The 24208-nt window shown below is 47.9% G+C and overlaps 1 protein-coding gene across 8 annotated transcripts, besides 4 other annotated features; it reads right to left on the reverse strand.

Moving 5' to 3' along the window:
* Positions 3640-3699: a silencer, noted in NCBI's record as "silent region_1769". NCBI's record gives its function as "represses an Ori minimal core promoter by ATAC-STARR-seq in GM12878 lymphoblastoid cells {active_cell/tissue: GM12878}" and the evidence as "EXISTENCE:reporter gene assay evidence [ECO:0000049][PMID:35858748]".
* FCAMR (Fc alpha and mu receptor) lies at positions 9827-22498 on the reverse strand. Of its 8 annotated transcripts, XM_047431769.1 has the most exons (10): positions 22365-22498; positions 22164-22277; positions 21947-22080; positions 19443-19511; positions 18912-18972; positions 17575-17718; positions 14073-14411; positions 12282-13083; positions 11539-11657; positions 9827-10536 (listed from the first exon to the last, which is right to left on the reverse strand). In XM_047431769.1, exons 3-10 carry the CDS (start codon positions 21983-21985, stop codon positions 10376-10378), a joined length of 1734 nt encoding a protein of 577 aa, XP_047287725.1. In that variant the 5' UTR covers positions 21986-22080; positions 22164-22277; positions 22365-22498; the 3' UTR covers positions 9827-10375. The 8 variants fall into 8 exon arrangements, with proteins under 8 accessions (XP_047287725.1, XP_011508353.1, NP_001116451.1 ...); XM_011510051.3 differs by lacking the exon at positions 22365-22498 and having other exon boundaries at positions 22164-22320; NM_001122979.3 differs by lacking the exons at positions 12282-13083; positions 22365-22498 and having other exon boundaries at positions 22164-22320.
* Positions 13428-14627: an enhancer, noted in NCBI's record as "BRD4-independent group 4 enhancer chr1:207134913-207136112 (GRCh37/hg19 assembly coordinates)". NCBI's record gives its function as "activates an origin of replication core promoter dependent on BRD2, P300/CBP, MED14 and CDK7 cofactors, and independent of BRD4, by STARR-seq in HCT116 cells {active_cell/tissue: HCT116}" and the evidence as "EXISTENCE:reporter gene assay evidence [ECO:0000049][PMID:35650434]".
* Positions 23188-23297: an enhancer, noted in NCBI's record as "active region_2437". NCBI's record gives its function as "activates an Ori minimal core promoter by ATAC-STARR-seq in GM12878 lymphoblastoid cells {active_cell/tissue: GM12878}" and the evidence as "EXISTENCE:reporter gene assay evidence [ECO:0000049][PMID:35858748]".
* Positions 23378-23427: an enhancer, noted in NCBI's record as "active region_2438". NCBI's record gives its function as "activates an Ori minimal core promoter by ATAC-STARR-seq in GM12878 lymphoblastoid cells {active_cell/tissue: GM12878}" and the evidence as "EXISTENCE:reporter gene assay evidence [ECO:0000049][PMID:35858748]".

The raw sequence follows: 24208 nt of genomic DNA on the forward strand, positions 1-24208 counted from the left end.
GAAAAGGGGTGGCCCATTATTATTTTGGTCTTGCTTTGTCACGATGCTGTGCTGGCCTTGGGCTCCAGAAGGAAATAGTTTTGTCTACTGAGATGTGACTTCCCCTGCTTGGTCAGTGGGCTTTGTCCCTGCTCATCCTGAGGGTTCTGTGGTCCACACTGTGCCCTCCTAGTCCATACACTGAGCTCCCTGGGGTGGGTCTTCCAGGCCCTCAGCCTCTCCTTGCCCACCTTGTGGGTGCAGGGTGAGTTTGGCTGATCACAGACTCCTGAGGCCTTTGGGAGATCCTGTGCAGCAGAGTCACATTTTCCCCCAACACTCTTGTAACCTCCTGTGTGCCAGTGTTCCCATATAATTGGGGGTACAATGGATATCAGCAAGACTGTGGACCACCAAAGTTCTCTACAGGATGGGCGAAGGTGAGGGCCCCTCAATCTGGAGTTTTCAAGCCCACCTGGATATCTCTATCATTGTTAATCCCCTCTCCCCTACTGTAGCCTGGACTCTGCCCCATGGTGGTGGGTGGGAGGGCACCAAGACACATCAGTAACTAAGCTCTCCTTTTTACTCTTCAGCAGTCTTTCTCCTCCCCAGTTCTGGGGTTAATGTCTAGCAGGAGGATGCGAGGGGAGACAAGATATGCAGGTGCAGAGATGAGACAAGCCTGGTTCTGTCAGATTATAGCTCCTTTCAAAGGATTCCCGATTTATACCTCTCTCCATTTGAACTCAATAGTCAAAATATTTGTAGGGTTTGTTTCTTCCTTCCCAAAGCAAGAAATAAGTTGTGTCCAGTTGTCCAGGCTGGAGTAGAAGTCAAGGCAGGTTCACAGAACACTAGTGCAGAAATTTGACGAGCAAAGGCTTGCAGGGAGGAAGGGGAGAACACTCATTAAATCATTTCTTCTCATGCTGCCTTGGTGGGCGTGGAGGACAGGTTGCAGATTTCCTTCCCTGCTTTGCTATTTCATGATGGTGGGTAATTTACTAGATCATGTCCTGCTGCATGTTTTCAATAGTCTCCAAAACTGTCTTAGCTGACCCATGTCAGACACACACACATACACATACACACACACACACCCCACATACCTGGAGCCCACTGATCCTACTGATCCAGTTTACAGAAAGGGGAAAATGAGAAGTAGAGCCCTGGGAAGAGGCAGGGAGTCAAAAATCCTACGTCCTATTCTGGGCTCAGCCACACGCCGGTGGTGTGATTGGACTCACTTGCTTCCCCTCTCGCACTGTGGTTTCCCCATCTGGAACCCAGTGGCCCTAAAATAGTACTATTTCTCAGCCCTGGGGGAGGAGGGACAGGCCAAGAGAGTCCATTGCCCAAATCAATAATAATGATGATAACAGCAGTGATTATACTTTCCAAACTTACAACACTTCATCTGCTCAACCCTCCCTGCTTCTTTTAAAGTAATCATACAAGAAAATATACCAGCAGAAGAACAGCTTCTCACTGGACTTTCCTGACTCTGGGACTCAGCATAAGTCACTGTGGAACACCTTTGTTTTGTTCCTGATTCTGCCTCTAATTGCCGAGTGACCTTTGCCAGATCACTTCATCCTGTAGGTCTGCAGGATTGTTTGTTCCATCAGAGGACAGTGCCAAATTGTTCCCAAGGCTCTTTCAGTTCTAGGATTCTGTGTTTTGGTTGAGCACCGTATTAGTTTCTGACAGCTGCTATAACAAATTAACACAACTTTAGTGGCTTAAGAAAACAGAAATGTATGCTCTTTCTGTTCTGGAGACCAGAAGCCTGAAATCAAGGTGCCAGCAGGGCCACCCTCCAGGCTCTAGACGATAATCCGTTGCTTGCCTCTTCTAGCTTCTGGTTGCTGCTGACATTCTTTGGTGTTCTTTGGCACGTAGCTGTGTCACTCCAACCTCTGCCTTCATAGTCACATTGGCTTCTGTGTATGTCTCAAATAACTCTCTGTTTCTCTGTTATATGGATGGTATTTAGGGCCCACCCAGCTAATCCAAGATGATGTCCTCATCTCAAGATCCTGAACTTCATCACATCTACAAAGACTCTTTTCCAAATAAGGTCACACTTCTGGGCTCCAGAGATTGAGACATAGACAAACCTTGGGGAAGAGGGATGGTGGTTATTTCTCGGCCTACCAACCATGACAAGCTCAAGGTCCAGGGAGATTTGAGACATGCAGGAGAGTGCACCCCTGTTCCACAAGGGCAAGTAGTCCAATTGAGAAGTCATCACTCACATGCAATACTGTCAAGGAACAACACAAGCCAGGAGGTAGCAAGCATAGAGAGCCTGTGTAGCCTTGGGAAAAGAGCAGGGGCTCTGGACCTCGACGCCCTGGGTTCACATCCAAGCCTTACCACCTGCCAGCCAGGGAACCTTGAACAAATTATTTAATGTCTCTGGGGAAAATTATACTTACTGTATAGGTATGTTATAAAGATTAAGTATAGGCCAGGTTCAGTGGTTCACACCTCTAGTCCCAGCACTTTGGGAGGCCAAGGTGGGAGGATCACTTGGGGTCAGGAGTTGGAGACTAGCCTGGGCCACATAGCAAGACCCAGTCTCTACAAAAACAAAAAAATTAGCCAGGGTGGTGGCACACCCCTGTAGTCCCAGCTACTTGGGAGGCTGAGGTGGGAGGATTGCTTGAATCCAGGAGTTGCAGTCTGAAATGAGCTATGATTGCACCATTGCACTCTGGCCTGGGTGACAGAACAAGACCCTATCTCCCCAAAATAAAAATCTAAAAAAAGATTAGCTATAATATGTTCAGTGACTAGCATCTAATAGGCGCTTATGATTCAGCAGCAAATAAACGGGACAGCAAAAGGCAAGTGTGTGTGTGTACATGCATACGTGTCTGGCACTGTCTGCTAAGACAGTTTTGGAGACTACTAGGAGCATGTACCAGAACATGATGGCGTAACTAGAGTGATTCTCCACTGAATGATGAAGGACCAAGAACAGAAAAGTGAAATGACTTGCTCCAGTTTGCACAGGAGGTCATCACACAGATGGGTCTAGAACCAAGGTTTTCTAGAAAGCATTTTCCTCCACTTCCCAAAACTTTTGCTGTCAGGATGAATTTTTTGGATGATATTTCTACAGACAGCAAGGGACGTCCGTTTACACCCTTGGTTTAGCCAGAGAATATTGCAGATGACCAAGCCCACAGGCTCACACAAATCCAACCCTTCAGGCTGTCTTTAGCTTGATGCTCCACAACCATGGGTTGACACAATCACCAACAGAGAAAGGGAAGCTAGATAGCCCTTCTTCACTCTCCACTGCTCAGCGGGCATCCCTCCACATGGATGGTTCCTTTGAGTGTGGCTTTTGCCATAAAAATGAGATAAGAGGGACAGAGGAAATGCTCTTTACTGCCAACTCTCTGCTCCTATGTACAGATCTTCACCTGAGTCAATGTTTAACCCCTGACTGGAGTCAATGTTTAATCCCAGGCCAGCCAGCCCTGCAATCCAGCATTCCTCATCTAGCCTAAAATACAGAGTCATTTTAGAATCAACCACTGAAGAATAAAATTGTGACTGAATTTGCCAAAGCTAAATAAACTCTCCCCCCCTTTTTAGAGGATACTGGCTGTTTGGAATTATTCATGCTACCTGTTCCCATTAGCAGATAGTGGTATGGCGTTTGCTGACCCTAGCTGTCACTCAGTGGTAGGAGCACAGCGTTTATTCTTCCTGTTTCAGTTCTTCCTTTTGGGCTGGGGGAGAAGAGCATTGGGTGGGGACCACTGCCCTTGTTACCCAGCTGGCAATGCTGCTGGCTGGCAACATGCTTCCTTGTGAAGCCACTACTTGGAATCCCACTAGGGGAGCTGGAACTTGAATGTTCCGGTTGGCTGCATTTAGGCATGTTTTCTGGGAGTTTCTGAGCCCAGATTTATGTTCAAAGGCCTAAACCTTTTCCCAGGTGAGTCTCCCTATTAAGGGGCAGGTGGGAGAGGGAAGAGTTCATTAGAAAGACCCTGACTATTGGTGATTCTCTAGGGGCTTCCTAGAGTCCTTCCTAAAGAGCTCAGGGCATATGGCATGTACAAATGGGCAGCATTGTGTCAACTCTAAGAACAACATTAATCAGGGAAGTCAAAGGATGGCAAGCTGGGTGGTAGCGTGCAGGGACGTGAAGAGGGAAGGAAGGCCGCTGTCAGATTAGCAGCTCTAGTCTTCAGTTGGTGTTGGAGAGGTGACTCACTGGCCAAACGTGTGCATGCAATGCTCAAATCTTTTCACTTTCCTCTATGAACACACTGAGGCCCTGCCTTCTCCTTGACCACCTGCCTCCCTGTGTCACTGCCCTGATGTCCCATTCTTCACTGTTTTCCTAGCTCAGCTGCCTCTCAGTCAGAAAGTGAAAACAACATTTCTTCTGGGGCTCCCAGAGTGGGGAGGTTGTTGCTACCCTTTCTCATTTTGGCTGGTGAAAGAGTGAAGGTAGAAACTGTGGTAAGAGCCCCCTGAGATTGCCTGTGTCCAGCCCTGAGGAGCCTGCCGTGGGGAGCGGGGAGTGAAGTGGAACATAAAAGGCCCTGGAGGCTGGGTGTGGTGGCCCACACCTGTAATCCCAGCACTTCAGGAGGCCAAGTGAGGCGATCACTTGAGGCCAGGAGTTCGAGACCAGCCTGGCCAACATTGTGAAAAATACTCTACTAAAAATACAAAAGTTAACCGCGCATGCTGGCGTGCTCCTGTAATCCCAGCTACTCAGGTGGCTGAGGTAGGAGGACTGCTTGAACCCTGGAGGTGGAGGTTACAGTGAGCCAAGATTGTGCCACTGCACTCCAGCCTGGACGAGGGAGCGAGAGTCTGTCTCAAAAATAAATAAATAAAAAAAATATTTAAAAAAAAAAAAAGAAAGAAAAAGGCCCTGGAAATGGAAAGTCAGCCATGGTCCAAAAGCTCTCTCAATTCTTCTTTGGGTCTAGTCTCTACACTCCAAAGAGCTTTGATTCTCTGTTTCTGAGAGGCAGGGACATATGAGCAAACCTTTTTTGAGGTTACCCAACCATTGTCCTATGTGCTGTTACCTCCACACCCTGGCTAGGGAGAAGCGGAAGGAGGAAGATTTTTGGAGTAGACATCCAAAGTCAATAGGTGGAGTGTCAGGTGACTGGGCCCAGCCCCTCTCATAAGCCACTGGGGTCCTGCTGAAGACTTGCTGTTTCCTTGTTCCTGGTCTGAGCCTGGCTCTCGGCCCAAGGCTTGCCTGACAGGCAGCGATTGGAAAAATAGCCCCTGTAATCCCCTGCAGCCTGTGTTCATCTGAGCCTCAATGTTCCCATCTCTAGAATGGGAGTATGTTTCTTTTTGGTGATGTATATTGTAATTAATTTGTAGTTGTCTGTACTCCACTGGCAGAGGTAGGGAAGGAAAGTGCTGGCCCCATAAAATGTTTAGATTAGTTGCATTTGCTAATCAGTCTGATCTTCCCATGCCAGGCCCTAAAGAAGCCACAGTCTGAATTCTTTTTCTTGAACTCTTGTCTGAAATGAAACACAGTATCTTCAGACAAATTAGAGCATTCTGAAAACACCTTTGGACACAGTAGTCCTAGCTTTCTTCCTCTTCTCTAAAGTACTCAAGGTTAGGAAGCCAGAAGTTTGCCACTCAGGGAAAGAAGTAGCCTTTGTTTGACCCTCTATGCTCACAGCAGAACTGGTAGATCTGGATAGAGGTAGCAAGTAAGTGAGCAGTGGGAACAAGGCCAGAGGTGGCAGAGGCAGAACATAGAAGAGTTCAGATCCTACTCAGTAAATGTGTGTCTTTTTGTTGTTGTTGTTTGTAGAGATGAGGTCTCACTATGTTGCCCAGGCTGGTCTCAAGCGCCTGGCATCAAGTGATCCTCCTGCCTCACGCTCCCACAGTGCTGGGTTTACAGGCATGAGCCACGGTGCCTGGCTTCAATCAATGTCTTTGATGCAATGCATCCAGGAGGCAAACAGTGGTCTGCAGGCCAGGGGCATTGGCACTGGTGATCACCACATGCCTGTAGAGGTGCAGCATGGGGTTCTCTCCTAAGGCTGCCGCTTCTCTGCTGCCCACATGGGTTTCAGCTGGCCCCTTAGAGAGTAGGCAGTAGGATGACAGCTCATCATACTGCTGACAGTGAAGGGAGCAGGCTGGCCCGGGAAGGCCAGCACCTGTAAACCAAGCTGTGTCACTGTATGAAAAATGAAGAGCTTGGTGGTGCTGGACCCTGAATGCAGGGTTTGTTTCTTTCTGAGTAGAATCTCCATTCTCCATTCCACATTAGTCATGCTTTCAGCTCTGGGATATCTGTACCAGGTGAGCACAATCAAATAACCTGTGTCTACTTGGCTGCAGTGCGTTATGGGTCTCTCTGTGGAGGTATCTTCCCCTAGGGCCTGACTGAGGCTGTTATTAAACTGATTTTTTATGTCTCAGACCACAGTGGGCTATTGGAGGAGAGGAAGAAACCTCCAACGTATTAGCAGAGAGCTCTCAAAAGTTGGCTTAGAGTCATGCATTTGCCCCGAGTAAGCTGAGACAGATGGACATCCCCACAAATAAAGATCTGAGCTCCTTTTATACATATGTCAGCAAGGACCTCAGGGCTGGTGCCTGAATTTTTAGCTCTAGTTCCGGCTCTCTGAACTTTTTTTTTTAATGCCTCATTAGGCCAGGGTTGTAATAAACTAGTTAGGTGACTAAAGAGAACCAATTCCTGGAAATGATTATGAAACCTTCCATGCACGAGCCTAAGAAAAAGAGAGAGAGAAAGACAGAGAGAGGGAGAGAGAGAGAGAGAGAGAGAGAAAGAAAGAAAGAAGCAAACCTTTAGAGCTTTACACAGGAAGGGACCTGACCAGATACTCAGACTATACATCCAAGCAAGGGGGAAGGCAGGGGACACAAAGATCGAGAATGCAGCTGTGGAGGTGAGGTGCTTTGCATGAAGTCCCAGTGTGCCCTTTCCTGAGTAGTGTAACTTAACTTCTCTGGTCCTCAGATTTCCCATCTATGAAATGGGAATGATCACACCTACCTTACAGAAATGTTACCGTAACTGTGATACACAATGTGAAAACACCTAGGATAGTGCCTGCTGTGCAGAAACACGTTAACAAGCAGTAGCAGCGTTAGTAAGTAACAGTGTAAAGTGAACTGCAGAAATGCACCCGAACCTGAGAATCTGCTTGATCTTGTGAAAATCAATGGTCTCCCTGCATCCTCGATTAGATTCTAATCCTAAGTTAGAAATCCCCAGGGAGGCTTCCCTGATTCTGGCCTAGGGATAGATGTTTGCCTGCCCCTCATCTCAGTGGTATAGGCATCATGCTAGCCGGAGGTATAAGATGAAAAACAACAGCACTGACAATACCAAGTGGTGGAGGTGGCCTCCTCTGCCAGTTTGGCCTCTGGCCCTTTAAATCAACCCTCCTGACTACTCCATGGATCAGTTAGCCCATAAAGGAGAGCTGTGAACACTTGGGGCTTCCCCGCTTCTCTCCCTGAAAGTTCTTACTCAGATCTTATCTCTGCCCCCTCCAAACTCTTGGCCCTGGGACTCTAATCTGGCCCTGCCCTGGCCTTTTGAACTCTTACCAGCTCCACCTCTGGTGGAGCTTAACTTTCCCTATAACGGCCTCCCTGCTAGAAACGCTCCTGGCTCTAGCCACGTGGCCAACACTCTTGCTGGGCTGGTTGTCTCCTCCCTCCCCTTCTTCCCCCAAGATGGGGTAGTCAGACAGAACATTCTAGCTGCTGAATTCCACAATGAAAGTATTAGAGCCGTTTGGAGGAAGGAGAGGTCCTGGAGAAAGGTGGTCAGGGAAGCCCTTGAGGAAGAATAGGATCTGATCTCCAGATCCGAGTGGGAACAAAAGAGTCCTGTACAATTTCATGGCTTAGTCCAGGGACTGGCAGATTCTGGCTCAAGGGCCAAATCCAGCCTCCCTCCTGTTTTGGGAAATAAAGTTTTGTTGGAACACAGCTGCGGTCATTTGTTTCTCGATTGCCTGGCTGCTTTTGTGCTGCAACGGCAGAACTGAGTAGTTGCCATAGAGACTGTATGGCCTGCAAAGCCTAAAATGTTTACCATGTGGCCCTTTACTGAAGAGTTGGCCAACCCCGGGTTTAGTGCATCAGGCTTCCCCAAACAGTGATGTGAGGAACTCCAGCCCCTTGGGACTGCTTCAATCAAACACAATAATCCAACACATCTGGGAAACACACATTATGTCCCCATCCCGAGGTGTGAAAACCCAGGGTGTTTCACAATACACCTCCATATAGCAAAGGCTCCAAAAGATCCTGCATAGAAGAATGTTTGTGGTTTCCCAGCATTTCCAAAACTTCATTAATCTACCAAACCTCCTTTTCCTCAGAACACCTTTTCACATCCTGAGAATCTAGCATTAGAAACAGTCTGGGTGCTGGGCCCATCCCTGCCACAAATGAGAACCAATTCCTGGGAATGATCATGAAACCTTCCATGCACAAGCCTAAGAGAGAGAGAGAGAAAGAAGTGAGCCTTTAGAGCTTTACACAGGAAAGGACCTGACCAGATACCTAGATCATAAATCCAAGCAAGGGGCACGGCGATCCAGAACATAGCTGTGGAGGTGGGCTGCTCCGAGTGGCCTTTGCTGAAGTACACACCTTGCAGAGCCTGCTCCCTCATTGGTTGAATAGGATCCATGATGTCTGTCCTATCTCCGTTACAGGATTATTTGGGGCAGGTCATTGAGAAAGCGAACAGGAAAATAGTCTCGAGGGACGACTGTGGTATCCTTGATTTTTGACAGTGAGTTTTGCTTTGGTACAATGCTCAGCAATGGTGAAGTGAAAAAGGCCCTGAACCAAGGTCACGAGTTCTCTTTGCTAGTCCTCACAGTGCTATAACTAACTGGGTTAACTGGGTGACTTTAAACAAGCGCCCCCCACCTGTACCCTTAACCCTGTTGGGCCTCAAGTCCCTCTCTTCTAGAATGAGGATATTAGACTAATCTCTAAAGATCTGTTAGCTCTGAAATTCTGCGATTCCATGTGGTTAGATGTGTGCAATTTTCCTACTTATCCAAAACAACAGGTTTCTCTTATAAGCCATAAAACCGGCATCTCCTTGATTTTCTTTGTACAGTGTCTGTGTTCAGAACCAGATATAAGGGGGTATTACTGAAGGATTTCTGTGCTGCTGACAGCTTAGAAGGCAGGACTAAGCCTTCTGGAAATGTCTACCTGGCAATTCTCAACTCGATATTGGTGCCTATTTTTCCTTTCTGCCTCCACCGCTCAGGCTGTTCCATCCAACAATGGAGCCCAGACAGTTTGCCAGCGGATCTGGCAAAAGAAAATAGTGGATGTGATTCCTGGAAAGGCAGTGGGGCCTAGGGTGGAGCGAAAGTTCCCTGACAAGCATGAGGTGATGTAGTTACAGGGCAGAATCCACATAAAATTCCTCTCTTTTGTCTCCCACCTCACCCCCAAAAACCATTTTCCAGCTTCACCAACAGTCCTCCATATCGAGGATTTATAAGCAGCTGAACAAGAGGGCCTTTATGAAGAAAGCAAGAATCTACTGAAAATACCCTGCTCCTCCATGAATGTAGGAAAATCCCAGAAAATCTTGGCCGGGTCAAAAGGTCTACGGCACAATAAGCCTGGGTCCAAATGGGGCGGGATGATGTGAGGAATGGGTGTTTGCCCTTTTGATCTCAGCGGAGAAACCAGCTGCCTGTGGGGTCATCTAGGGGACTCCCAAAAGGAGGGGCAGAAGCCCAGGGGGACCCAGAGTTCTTGCAGAGGAAGGGTGCCTAGAGGCCACTGAGCCCCCAAGTCAATCAGACACAGGTATTTATTGGGGTCCTACTGAGTTGGAAGTTCTCTGGGGGCATCATGAGACAGATAAAATGCAATTACTGCCTTAAAGGAGCTTAGAATCTACTTGAGAAGGCAAGGCTGGTACACTTAAATATAATACATGTGAATGGGAGGCTGAGTGCTAACAGTAGTCAGAAAAGGAGCCCCCAGCAAGGGCTGGGAGTGTTGATAGGGGATTTGTCACTTTCCACACTGATTGGAAGCCTCTTCTATTTTCAAACATTCAGGAATGGAAATTTCATGCTTTTCCTAGGTGACCTCTTCCAGTGTTTCATACACTGTTCTTGAAGTCTCCTTTGAGTCATCTTGTCACCTTTGGACGTGGATAATGCTTGACTTTCTTGGGCCCAAGGACAGCCAGCCTTTCTTCCATGGGTGGAGCACCGGCTGCATCAGCTTCTCTTCCCACAGGTGGAGGAAGGATGATGGAAAGAGGCTGGGGTCCTGAAGGCCTTTGATCTTGGTCCTTCTCCCATGGTAACTGAGCAGTTCATCTCTCTGTCCCTCAGGGTCCTGGATTTCTCTCTGGGGCAGTCAGGCTGGCCCCAGCAGGAAGAGAGTCATCCTGGAGCATCTTTCTTTCCACATGGGGCAGCTGGTCTGCTTGGGGGTTCACTTCCAGAAAATGTGTCATCTGAATTAAGGTGACCCTTTCTGCCTCCTGAGCTGCAGAGACACAGAGCAGACTGTGAGGGTTCTGGGTAAGGACAGCACTGACTTTGATTTCCTAAGAACCACTCCCAACCACTGCAAGTTTTCAAGAACTTTCTGACACAGAAGCAATGGAGCCCTAGTTGGCTAGGCTAAGCCAGCCTAGCCCATGATAGGGCTTGGACTTCGGGGCCTGGGTCTGAGAACCTTAGCCTCCTCCACTTGCTGCCAGAAAATCTCACCCTTTCTTCACTAGGTGTACATATCACAGAGCCCTCACTTTAAGAGTACTTAAACCTGGGCATGTTGCTCTCAGAGAATTTTAGCTGGGCTTTGCCAAAGGGGGAAAATGCGAGGTTTGATCCCAGGTCTGGGCCCTGCACTCCTGCTCTCTGCTGTGAGGGTTGCTTATGAGGCTTATGGTTAACATAGGCATCACAGCCTTTGTAATCTTCCAGGAGCTTCTCCTTGTGCTCTGGGATGCCATTGACACGTAAGTACAGAGATAATTTCTAATTTTATTGATTAAAAACCAAGGCAGTTTGGGCAGAGTGGCTCACGCCTATAATCCCAGCAATTTGGGAGGCCAAGGATCACTTGATGTCAAGAGTTCAACACCATTCTGGCCAACACAGTGAAACCCCATCTCTACTAAAAATACAAAAATTAGCCAGGCATGATGGTAAATGCCTGTAGTCCTAGCTACTTGGGAGGCTGAGGCAGGAGAATTGCTTGAATCTGGGAGGCGGAAGTTGTAGTGAGCCAAGATCACACCATTGCACTCCAGCCTGGATGACAGAGCAAGAGTCTGTCTAAAAAAAAAAAAAAAAGAAAAGAAAAGAAAGAAAAAAAGAAAGAAAGAAAAGAAACCAAGGCCAAGAGTGGTTAAATGGCTCAGCCTAGAATTTAGCTCTTCTACATTGAAAAGTCCTGGCAGGACTCTACCCCTACCCAGCCCTGAGGGTGTCAGGTGGGAACCAGAACTCTTCTATCTAGCCTTGGGGCTACTCAACTCACAGGTCCTCCTTCTCCAGAGCTTCCTTTGCAATAGAACCAGAGCCATAAGCATAAACAGGGCCAGCATGGTAGAGACAGGAGCCAGGGTCCGAGAGCTGCTTTCATCTTCTGGAAAAGTACTACAGTGGGGGTGGAAAGAGCACAGGGGAGAGGAGGTTGGAGCTGGGCAGAAGATTAAAGACCATTTACCCACATCCTTACTTTACAGATTGGGGAGCTGAGGCCAAAGCAAATGGGCAGCCCTGGTTCCCATGGCTGGTTAGTGTCAGAGCTTGGGGCTAGAATCTCTGTCTTCAGGCTTCCAAGCCTGAATCCTTTTCCCTCTTCCACCCATCTGTGTGTGGGCCCTGCGATGCCTCCCAGTGAGAAAGAGGACTAGGTGGGAGCAAGCGACTCCAGCCTCAGCACTGGGCTCTGCCACAACCTTTCCTTGTGGCTTCAGTGCATCACCCCCTCTCTCCGGAGCGCCTATTCTTTATCTTTAAAAACAGAAAGTCCTAATGAAGGTTCCAGCCTAAATATTGTCTTTCTATCATTTAGATATCACTTGAAAACCACATGGAAATACTCAGGGAGCGTTCTCACAGCAAGGCCCCTTGGGTGAGGGAGGGCATCCGATGTGTATGTCACTGTCTTGTGGGTACAAAGGGAGAGAAGTGAGCAGAGGGAGAGGGGCCTCCCTTGCATGCCAGGGATGAGGCAGATGTGGGGCCCCCCAACCGGGAGAAGGTGCCTGGGGTTACCGCTTCACGGAGGACTCCTTGCCAGGGGGTCCCCAGGGTCCTACTGCCGGGGTCTGGCTCAGTGTTGCTTGGGGACCTCTGTCTCCAGTGGCAGCATCTAGGTCCCCTGCAGCGCTTCCTTCCCCAGATGCTGCCTCCATGCTGGTCCACACATCTGCAGCTGGAGTTCCCAAGATCCACACATCTGCAGCTGGAGTTCCCAAGGTCCACATGCCTGCAGCTGGAGTTGTTTCTCCAATGGAACCCTGAGATTGTTGCTTAGAAACTGGCGTTGCTTGTGGGAGGATTTCCCAGGCCAAAGTTTCTGAGACCAGAGCTGGTGGCCCAATGGTTCCTAGGACCTTTTTGGCTGCATCAAGAGCTATCCTGACCCCCTCTATGTCCTCCCTTGGCCTATCAGCCTTGGTAGTTGTCATCTCCCTCCTGTCCTTGCTGGCTCTAGCCCTGTTTGTCACCGAGCTTCTGGTGCCCTCCCAAACACCTTCTGTTGTATTGGACATGCTTCTGCTCTTTGAAGGTGGACTCTCTGGAATCGGAGCAGGTGCTTTGACAGAACCCTCTGCCCAGCTGCCTGTCCCTGGAGCTGCTGGCCTGGTTGCTCCTGGGGTTCGTCTTCCCTCAGCTGAAGCTGTAGTCTTGCTGGTTCCTGGAGTGGAAGCAACTGTGTCCCATGCTGTCCCCTGTCCTAAGGTCTGGGTGGTTCCTGGGGTCCATCTGTTGGCCACTGGAGACGCTGTTCCATAGGATCTCATGGTGAGCTCCCCAGCAGCTGGAGTGGCTGTGGGGAGGGTGCTGGCGGGACCTGTGTGGACAGCAGAGGGAGGCCACATGGGAAGGCTGGCAGGCCACCTACTGGATTTGGCAAAGGACACCAGGTTTAAAATGTCTGCTAAGTGGAATGCAACCTCACTAAGAGTTGCAGTCTTTGACCAATAGGTTGGATAAAATAAAAAATAGGAAAATGTTTCATTCTCCAGTTTGTGGCAAACATTCTCTCGTCTGTGGCAGACACTGACATGTTATACTCCTATTTCCTTCTCCCATGCCCACATATTTTCTATCCAGCTGTCTTGAATTCCCAAGCTGTTTTCTCCAGAGGCCCACCGCCCAGCAGGTATTGTTCTTCAAAAAAGGTAAAAGAAACACTCCACTTCTAGCAGAGCAGCCCGTTGCAGCAGGCGGCTGGAGAGCAGCATCTAATAGAACTAACCTGCTTTCAGGCTGCCTCCTGTCATGCTGTCTCCTCTGCCAAGTGGCCTTTCACAGCCTGGAGGCCCTTCCTATGCTCTGGGTGCCTGACTTGGGATCAACAAACAGAACCTGCTGCAGAGGGCCTAGGCCTGGGAGCTGTCAGATGTTGGCTGAGGGACTCAGCAAGAGTCTGTGTGAAGGACAGCCCAGTTGCAATTCTTCTGTCCTGCCTGTCACACCTCCTCTGCAGTGCTGCCGCTTCTCTGCATGTCTGAACATGCAGCTATCAGGATCCTAAGAAGCCACGTCATCCCATTCTTGGAGCCGTCTCCAAATATATATTTCATGACATTTGGGGGACACAGGTGGGAGAGTGTACATGCATTCACTGGGGAAGTTTTTCCTAAAATCTTCCTTTTTTTTGAAGGCAGCCTTCTTCTGAAATGAAAGCCTACTTCTTAAAGTCTTTGCCTTGCCCCAGCTTTTCATTGTCACTTCCCTAATGTTTCAAGCCCTTCTGGGTCTCTGAGGCTTCTCTCCCACTTTCTCCTTCCTAGAACGTGCTTCACCAAGCTTGGCCCATCAGCCGTCAGCTCATACCTGCAGAGATGGTCAGATTCATGCTTAAGAACAGCATGTTGTTTTCACTTCCAATGCCGCAGAGGTAGCATCCGATGTCATCCGGGGACAGTTGGGACAGCCTCACCACAAACAAGCCTCTCTGTGGAAAGTCTGTGAGGGCCACACGGTCACGATAGCGATGGTGAGTATACTGGTTGGTGGACACAATGGTCTGGCAGATCCATCTTGGGGGCCCCAGACGGCACCAGTACTTCCTCTGGTGCCTGTTGACAGATGAGGGGGCATAATGGCACTGGATGGTGACAGCTCCTCCAGGCTCCCCTGACACCAGCCTTGAGCCCTTCAATGAATTTGGAGCTGCAGACAGAGAAGGAAGTCAAAGGAGAGGAAGTGGTGAGCATAGTCACTGTTTGGGGACTCACGAACTCTGAACTCTGCCAGAATTAGGGGTCAAGTCAGAAAATACCACTGTGAACATGGAGCAGAATCAATATAAAAATGGCAGAACTCAGCCATTGGGAAAGCAGATGTTGTCCCAAGGTATGGAAGATGAAAATGTAATCATAATCTTACCCACCTTGATAAGCTAACACTTATCCTGAGCTATCCTGGTCCATCCAGAGCCTGGGTTCCCCTGTGCTCCAATGCAGATGTTTAAAAAGATGCCATCTAAGCACACATGAGAGGGCTGAGGCAACATCTGACACTCACTCACTCAGTCACTCCTCACTGTAGATTTAGACAACACAGTCCAAACTATGCCACCAATGATAACATTAAATGGTAATCTATCATCAAAAGACAAAAATATTCACAATTATAAACAAGGACCCTTTCAGGACAACAGTGATGATTCCCTGATAGAAGGGCTCTGGTTTGCATGGAATGTAAAAGACAGATGCTAAGCAGTAAGAACATATCAGTGTACCTTTCATCTGCAAAAGACGGGGAGTCCTGAAACACAAGAATCCCCTTCTGCTTGGTGGGTACCTGTCTGGACCAGTGGTTGCAAAATTTTTCACACTAGTCACTTTTCCATAGAAACAGAAACAACCAAATGCCACCATATAAGCACAGATGAGCAGTACTATGAATATGTCTGCTTGGCAACAGGCCTAAGGACAATTCGTAGTTGAACCACATATATGGCCAGCTTCCTGGATGACTTAAATGTGATGGGGTGCAAGCAGAAACAAAGTTCATTCTTTCTCTCACTGCCTCTTCATACCTTCTCCGTGGACATCTCTGATCCTTGCTGAAATTTCAGGCATAATCTCATGTATAGTAGCTTTCTTTCGTAATTTCTCATGGATAATAAAGAGCCCCGCCTAGTCTAAACTTATACATCCAGTCCAGTCCAGTGAAAGATCACAACTCCAATCTTTTGCCCAGTCAAAACCCTTTCCTTTCTCCCAGCTGGGCTTGGAGTCTGTCATGGAGGAGGGGGGCATGGTTGGGGTCTCTTGCTTTGCTCTATCCCTTCCCCTGTTCAAAGCTTCTGTTTGGGGGTCCCTCCAGAGTTGGGCAGAGTGGGGAGAGGAGAGGTGAATGAGACAGTTGTGATCTGCCCTTGGTGCTTTCTGGGCATGGCAGATGACCAAGGCTGCCTCTTTTTTGCCTACCAGATGTATTTTTAGCATATATGGCTGTCGTTCTCTCCTTATGAGAATTGCAGGTTCTTCTGCTGGCCATTAGTGGCCACCACCCACAAGCCTATGACTTCTGGCTATCTGCCCTGCTCTGTGGTCATAGTCCCCTCTGGGTGGCCCTCTAGGTGGAGGCCCTGCATTTAACACAGGAAGTACACCTGTGTCCTGCAGTCAGAAGAACCTGGGACAAAGGGCATGCTTGTTGAGTGGCTTTCTGGAAGTTCCTCCTCTTACTTGGCTTAAAGTGAGGAGAAAGTGATGTCTCCTGTCCCCTGGGACAAGTGGAGGGGACCACAACACAGGGACATCTCTCCGACAAAGCCCTCACAGTGAGCTCTGCAGCCGCTGATGATTCTCTCCCTCCTTCATTTGGCCTGGACAGCTTCCCGCGGGGCTGTTGCTGGGACCAGCTCTATGTGTCTTTCTACAGCCCTGTACATGTGGTTCAACATCTTGCGGTAGGATGTGGATGCCTGGCACCTATCAGTCTGTTCTGCCTTTAGGATGTCTGAACCCCAGAAAGTTCAGTTTAATATCCTTGATTTGGTTTGGATGTTCGTCCCCTCCAAATCTCATGTTGAAATGTGATTCCCAATGTTGAGGGTGGGGCCTGGTGGGAGGTGATTGGGTTGTGGGGGAGGATCAGTCATGAATGGTTTAGTACCATCCCCTTGGTGCTAAATGAGTTATTTCTCAGTTCACATGAGATCTGGGGCCTCCCCCCACCCCTTCTCTTGTTCCCTCTTGCGCCATGTGCTGTGCTGCTCCCGTTTTGCCTCCCCTGTAAGCAAACGCTCCCTAAAGCCTCACCAGAAGTCAAGCAGATACCGGCACCATGCTTCCTGTACAGCCTGCAGAACCGTGAGCAAAATTACACTTCTTTTCTTTATAAATTACCCAGTCTCAGGTATTTCTTTATAGCACCGTAAAAATGGCCTAATATAATCCTATTGCCAGGAACAGTTAAGCAGTTTGTGGGTGCCAGAGCAAAATGAAAATGCAGGACTTCTTGTTCAAAAGTTATTAAGAATTTCAACATGGCAACAGCAGAGCATTAAGCCAAGTACCTTCTGAGTATGGGGTCCTGTGTGACTGCACAGGCCCAGGAAACCTACCCTGCCTATTATGTGTGTATTCAGGTCTAACTGCTGGAAGAGTAGAGGTCATAAATGTTATGTCTGTGCTGATACTCACTGTACGTTTCATTAAACAACACACCCCAAACCATGCCACTAATGGGAAAGTTAAATTACCATTTAAATTTACCAAGTTGTGCATATATGCAATATTCACAATTACAAACAAGGACCATTTCAGGACAATAGTGATGATGCCCTGATAAAGTGTGCATACCCCAGATTTCAGGAATTCCCCTGATCTGTATGTGAAACATTTGAGAGGAGCAGGGTTCCACTAATCAGCAGGATGGGGTGGTCTTACTTCACAATAGAAAGCTGATTAAGAATCCTTAATCAACCCTTGCAAATGCACATAATTTTTTATTAATACCAAAGTTAAGAACCAATACCTTAAGGATTCATTTGATAGATCACTGATCAATAGCTCTTTGTTATATACAATAATTAAGGTTTGGGAAATTTTATATTAACTACCATAAGAATTCAAGACCAGGCCAGCATTTTAGGGTCAATGTGTGCCCACCTGGGGGCCCTGATGCCAACTCCCTGCCCATCCATGGAGGTGGGTGCCCTGGCTCTCATCCCCTCATTGTTACTCAGCAATTGTCTATTGCTATGGCTTCCATTAGGAGAGGCTAGGGCTGCCTATAGCTGTAGGGAGCCTGACTTGGTCTGAGAGAGCCTGGGAAGTCTGAGGTCCATGGTCGAACAAAGGGAGAGTAGGGGTTGTACCTGCAAAGGAGCTCTCCTCCCGCCAGCAGAGGGGCGAGGAAGGCCTGAGTGTTCCCATGGCCCGGAGATGGGTCCTGGAGGGGAGAGAGCCCTCCCACAGCCATCTCGGATGGGGTCTTTTTTGTGGAAGGGCGAAAGAAGAACCTGCAGCAAAGGAAGGAGATGGGTCATCAGGGGGCCATCCATGTGTCCACAAAGGCACCTACAGAGGAAGAAGCAAACAGCCAGTTCCAAACCCCTGCCAGGCCAGATAGCTCCAGGCCATCCATCAAGTAAGAGCTGCCTGCCCTCCTGCAGCTTCTCCCTCCCACTGCTACCACCTTGCTGGGGTCTCAAGCAGCAGCTGCCTAGATTGGGAGGAGAGGGGTGGAGAAGAGGGAAGGCAGCAACCACACCCCCTTCCTGGACTGCAGGCCTTGAGGGGATGAGGGAGTATACCTTTAAATGAAGATTAAAGTGCTGACCAAAGTATTTAGCTGGAAACTTTAAATGATCAAATTTAGAACGTTTGAGACTTAAAGCAATTAATTTAGGACTATTACTTAGCAGAAAAATCATGGGCCTGCCTGAGTTGTCGTTTACTGAAAAATTTTAAAAGGGACAGCAGGAGATTAAAGAGGTGGTGTGATTTTATCACGCAGAGTGCTTACTCAAATATTGGCTACATTTTTTGTTTTTGTTTTTGTTTTGAGATGGAGTCTCGCTCTATTGCCCAGGTTGGAGTGCAGTGGCGCGATCTCAGCTCACTGCAACCTCTGCCTCCAGGGTTCAAGCGATTCTTCTGCCTCAGCCTCATGAGTAGCTGGGACTACAGGTGCGTGCCACCAGGCCCGGCTAATTTTTGTATTTTTAGTAGAGACAGGGTTTCACCATGTTGCTCTGGCTGGTGTCGAACTCCTGACCTTGTGATCCGCCTGCCTGGGCCTCCCAAAGTGCTGGGAGTACAGGTGTGAGCCATCACGTCCGACCTTATTGGCTACCTTTGATTCATTAAAACTCTGATTTGTTTTTAAGCCAGTTGTTAATCCTTTTTTTGGTATTATGATGGAATTTCCATTCATTCATTAATTTATTCAGTCATTATTTATTAAGCATCTACTTGGGACTAGATTCTAGGTACTGGGTACTCTTGGCGCATACTCACTATGTTCCTCAATGGTTCCCTATTACCATCAGAATAAAATCTACTACAGCATGGAGATGGAGCCATTTGTCATCTGAGCATGGTTTATACCTGGACAGTTTTACCATACCAGCCTGTGAGGACCTTTAGGGCAGCCTGGAAGACTCAGGTCTGGTTTTGTAAGCCCTGAACCTGGGCTGGGTTTGGGACTCACCTTGTAGCAGGCACAGTATGAGGAAGAGGGGCATTTTCCATCCCGCCCTCCTGCTGGTGACCTGCAAAAAACACTCTAAATGAAAAGAGGCCTGAGAGAAGCTGGGTGAGGGTGGTGGGACTTGAGAGAACAAGCATCTTCTCACTTTGGGATCTCGGTTTGCTCAGTGCAGGGGCTGGGTTGCAGATATCTGAGAGTAAGACAAGCACTTCCCTCCCTGAGAAAGCATGACTTTATCCTCACACTCCTAAGCATGCACATTTTGGTCACGTCCACGAGGCCAAAATGTCCCTTACCCTTGAGGGTTCTGTGTTCAGAAGAGGTGAAACTCCCTCTGTAGGATTCTAGCCTGGGCACCCACTTGCCAGCCTGGAGCTCTGAGTTTGTGGGGAGCACCGTGTAGTGGAAAGGCCACGTTTGAAGTCCAAACTCTAGTTGGAATTGTGGGACCTTGGAAGGTTAGTCTCAGGGATTCGATTCCTTTTCAGGAGAATGAAGGAATCTGCAAGGGGTTGTTGTTACACAACTTACGTGAGATTGTGGTAAAGTGCCAGCAATGAGCCTGGAGTAGTCCACTTCTCTTCCTCTCCTCACCACTTCCTGTTTGCAGAAGGGGAATTGGTTTTTTCAAGGGAAGATTTCTGTTTCACTGTTAGTATGCCTCGGTTAGTAACAAGGAGTTAAAAATTAAATCTCAGACCAAGTAGCTCTCTGCACTAGGGTGCTATTCTGTTTCTTCTCCACAACTTCTAGAAAGCCCTCTCTGTCCCCCCATCCACACTGACCTTCACCCCACTGTGGTCTCTCCCACTGGCCTGGGGAGCTTCCAGAGGGGACAGCTTTGTATTTCATCCCTCTACCATCATGCTCTGAAAGGGGATCTAGCACGTTGTAGATGTGAAATGCACAGCTATTGTGAACAGTAACCCTCCTCTTTTAATGGACACCATACTGATCACTACACAATGGTCTTTTACCGCTTGCTGATGAAAAAGACAGAGATTGTGGCCGGGCACAGTGGCTCATGCCTGTAATCCCAGCACTTTGGGAGGCCGAGGCGGGTGGATCACGAGGTTAGGAGTTCAAGACCAGCCTGACCAACATGGTGAAATCCCATCTTTACTAAAAAATACAAAAATTAGCCTGACGTGGTGGCACATGCCTGTAATCCCAGCTACTGAGGAGACTGAGGCAGTAGAATTGCTTGAACCCAGAAGGCAGAGGTTGCAGTGAGCCCGTGCCACTGCACTACCACTTGGGTGACAGAGCAAGACTCTGTCTCAACAACAACAACAACAAAAAAGACAGAGATTGTACATTACACTTCTCTTGTATTCCCCAGAGGGTATTCATGGATGCTTTTTGATGGATTAAAAATCTACTCTTTGAATCTATCTATTGCTTCTGTTTCTGAGACCTATAGATTTTTGAAAAAGCAAACTAAAGTTAGCCGTTGAGTTTTTCTTCCTACTCTAATACGTTCCTCACTACTGTTAAGGACAGGCGCTAACAGTCAATGGTTTGGCCCATGGGCAGAAACCCCCTCACTCCCCAAACAGTTTAAGCCATGCAAAACCACTGGCCAGTTTGTGACACAGGCTGTGCAGGAGGGAATCACAAAGAGGAAAACAGGGAATAGGGGAAAAGAGAAGGCAGAGGAAGTAGGAGAACAGGGAGAGAAAAGGAGAGGTAGGAGGTGAAAGAAGGGAAAAGGGAAGAGAGAAGACAGAAGCAGAGAAAAGTAGAGAGTCCATGGGGTGGCCCTGAGCTTGTTTTCCTGCAACTAGACTTGGCAAGTTGTCCCCTCAGCTTGGCTCTGCCCAGCCCTCTCCACTAAGGCCTTTCCCTGCTCTACCCAGTTTGAGCCCCAAGAATGGCCAGATCTTTAAAAGTCCATAGGCTCTTTATGCATCTTTCTGTGCCTTCGCTGTAGCAAGTCCCCTAGCTTGGGCACTGCGATGGCAGTCTCAGACCTTTCCCTGCCTTACAAAGCTTCCTGTCCCCACCTGGAGACTCTCCCAGGGTGTTTGTTCCTGCACCTAACTCATAATTTGATTAATATTCACCAAGTCCTGGCTGATTCTGGGGCTGGTACCTAGACTCCCCCGGGTGAATTTTTCTAAAGCACTAAGTGCTGATGCAGCACATGTTGGGGCCAAAGTCTCTGCATCATACCATCCAGTTCCTCTGAAGTCACCGGTGCAGCAATCTCTGGGCTTCAGGGAGAAAAGCCGGCTCCGTGGGGCAATGAGGAAGCAGGAGTATGAGATAAAATGTTTCCAGGGAGTTATCAGCTTTGATTGGAGGCTGGGAGGATAATACTCAACGGAATGTCTCCAAGTCACCCTCTCTGCCAATGACCTTCAGAAATCCTTTCTCCAGGAGACAGGGGGCCATAATTCAGTAGCCTGGGGCCACAGGCTTCTGTTACTGCACACTGCGTTTTAGGGGATGAGACCATATGAGGGGACTCTCTTGTCCCTCTCATCCTGCTGGGAAGGGCATGCACCTCACCTCAGCTTCAGCACAGGCTGCTTGCTGCATGACTTCCCAGATGCCTACTGGCCCTCCGAGCCCCAGTTCACTCCTATCCCCTCCCCACATCCCCTGGGCAGCAGATAAGAAGGGAAGGAGTCAGTGTAGTATAGAGGAGAGAGCACAGAACCAGGACTCAGGAGGGGCTGCAGCAGCCTCAGGCTGCTGCAATAACTTGGCCAATGTTCTGTTCCTCTCCTCTACAAAAGAAGAGCTTTGACTGCATGTTCTCCGTGTTTCTTCTCTTTCTAACGTTTTTTTGGTTCTAAATTACCCAGGACTTCTAAGGAACCATGCACTCTGGTGGGTGTGAGCAGAATAATAGGGAGCTGAGAGGGAGCCCCTATGTTCTGGACTCTAGAACCCTTACCTGGCCTCCTGGGAAGGAGCCCACCTGCTCTGGGAAGGGCACTGAGGAGCATGTGTGACAGCTATGGCTGCAGTTCACCCCCCACATTCAGAGGCAAGATCCCAACCTCCAGGAGAAAGCATCATTTCACCTTTTGTTCTCCAGGCTTCACTGTGGCCTCTCCATCCATCTCAGTCCAGAAACAAGATCCAGGTGGACTTTTCTTCTCCTTATGAGATGCAGGTGTTTGGACGACTTCTAGTTGCTCTCCTTTAAACCTGGAGACTGAGAAGTCAAGGTGGTATTTTGGAAAGCAGCTGGAGCTAGCAACGGAAGGTCGGGGTGCAAGGCGTAGCTCTGCCACTCACCTCAAGTCACTTCTCTTTGGATTTTATTATTTATAAGAGGAAGCCAGTCCTAATCCCTTGTCATTCTTACTGTCACTTATTCCTGAAGAACTTTTCCAGGAGTGGTAACAGTAGCTTCAAAAAAGAAAACACTGATCCATATCCTTCCTCCTCTTGTGTCCCCTTCAGGGGTCTCAGACTATTTAGGGTGCCCCAGCTTACCAGCCCATTCAGGCATCTCCCGGACAAGTGATGCAACAACTTGGGCAGGAGGGCAGGGAAAATTCAAAATTCAGGAGAGGAATTCCCCTGCCATTTGGCTGGCAGCTGGTGCCCTCCAGCTGACCTGGCCCCTCCAACTCTCATAGAGAAGAACTTTGGGCAGCTTGGGTCACTGACTTCAGAGTTGCATGATCTGGTGGTTACTAATTCACGTCCCTGACAAAGCATAATACAGTAAATGAGATGATCTTCATGGAAAGAGGACACTGAGAAGTGTGGCTTACCCAAATAGATGACACAGTTGAAAAATACCCCAATATTTCCCTTTGGAAAATAGTTTATGGGTTTTTCTTTTCCTTGTAAAAGATGTGATCTTCCAGTCTCTGTTGGTCTCAAACTGACATTAAAATGGCTTGTACAGCTGAAGCACTCAACAATGAATGGGCACAAGGGGATGGGGGGTGCTGCAAGCTGCAATTAGGGACCTTCACTAGGACCCCTGATAGATATGATAATACGGCACCTCTGACCAATTAGAAAGGGCAACTCTTCCTTAAGAATAAATTCAGTTGGTATATTGTTGTGTAATTTGCTGTAGCCATAGATGGCAGCATGTATTCTCCATGCATTTCCCCTTCCAAATTTGAAGGCAGATTGAGGGTAGAAATTGAGTCACTGAAAGCAACAGAAGAGGAAGAGAAACAACTCTATGGGGTACTTGGAGTTTGGCCATGACAGGACAATTGTGCATAGTGTGTGCTGGTAACTGTGTGCACAGCTGTGTGTGCTGCTCTCCCACGACTTGGTCAGCAGCTTCCAGTGCTAGAGCTCCAGATCTTCACCTCCATCTATAGCCTCTCATATTAGTTAAAATACATCTACAATGTGAATGGTATCTCCTTAGTAATGGTGCTCTTGAGCAGTGCACAACCTGAAGAACTGTATACAGTGGCCTTGCCTTCCGAGACTGGTTTCCAGAAATGAGTGACCTTCATGTAGGTGGTAGAGAGGTAGCTAATGCCTGGCCAGATTCTCCCCTTCCCCTCCTCATGGAGCAGTATAGTGTCATGTTTGATCACATAGATTCTGGAGTCAGACTCCCCACTCCTCTCAGTTAAGATCTCAGTTCTACTTTTTACTGGGAAAATGACATGGATCAGGTTACTTTTTCTCTTTAAACCTAGTTTTCCTAATCTGTTAAACAGGAGAAAATAGCACCTATCTCATAAAGTTATTATGTGGATCAAATGTGATAATCCATATAATTCAAAGTTCTTAGCATGCAGTTAATTTTCATTAAACATTAGCTGAGAATATTATTAGCTTGGCTTGTAGCAAAGGAAGCAGGTGTTTTATCATGATCAAACTCTCAAAAAAAAAATGCCTTCGACGGTTTTCTTCCATTCAAGTGTCCCCTCCCTCCCTCCCTCCCTCCCTTCCTTTTCCTTTCCATTATTTTGGCATTTGAAAGATAAAAAATTCATCAATTTGTCTAGGGACACTTCTGAATTAAATTTATATTCTTAAGTAAACATTTGTCAAATTTTCACTATTTTGTAAATGTTGCTGCCATTTGCATCCTTAAGGTCATATTTTTCTGTTTTACCTACTTCTGAACACTTTGAAGACTTTTTGATTACAGAAACCAAAAATTATAGTAAAGTACAATTAATTGTAATGCACTGGTCCAGTTTCCAGAGCACTTTCTCAGAGCCATGAAGTCCCTTCTCTGAAGCTTTATGGAGGAGAAAACTCCATACTGGCTGCTTCTCTTGGGGGTACAATTGAATTTGCTTATCCAGCACAAAGCCCCAGGGGCTTCTTTACATATATATATGACACTA

This window comes from Homo sapiens, chromosome 1, assembly GCF_000001405.40.
Source record: "Homo sapiens chromosome 1, GRCh38.p14 Primary Assembly".
In the NCBI taxonomy this organism is placed as follows: domain Eukaryota; kingdom Metazoa; phylum Chordata; class Mammalia; order Primates; family Hominidae; genus Homo; species Homo sapiens.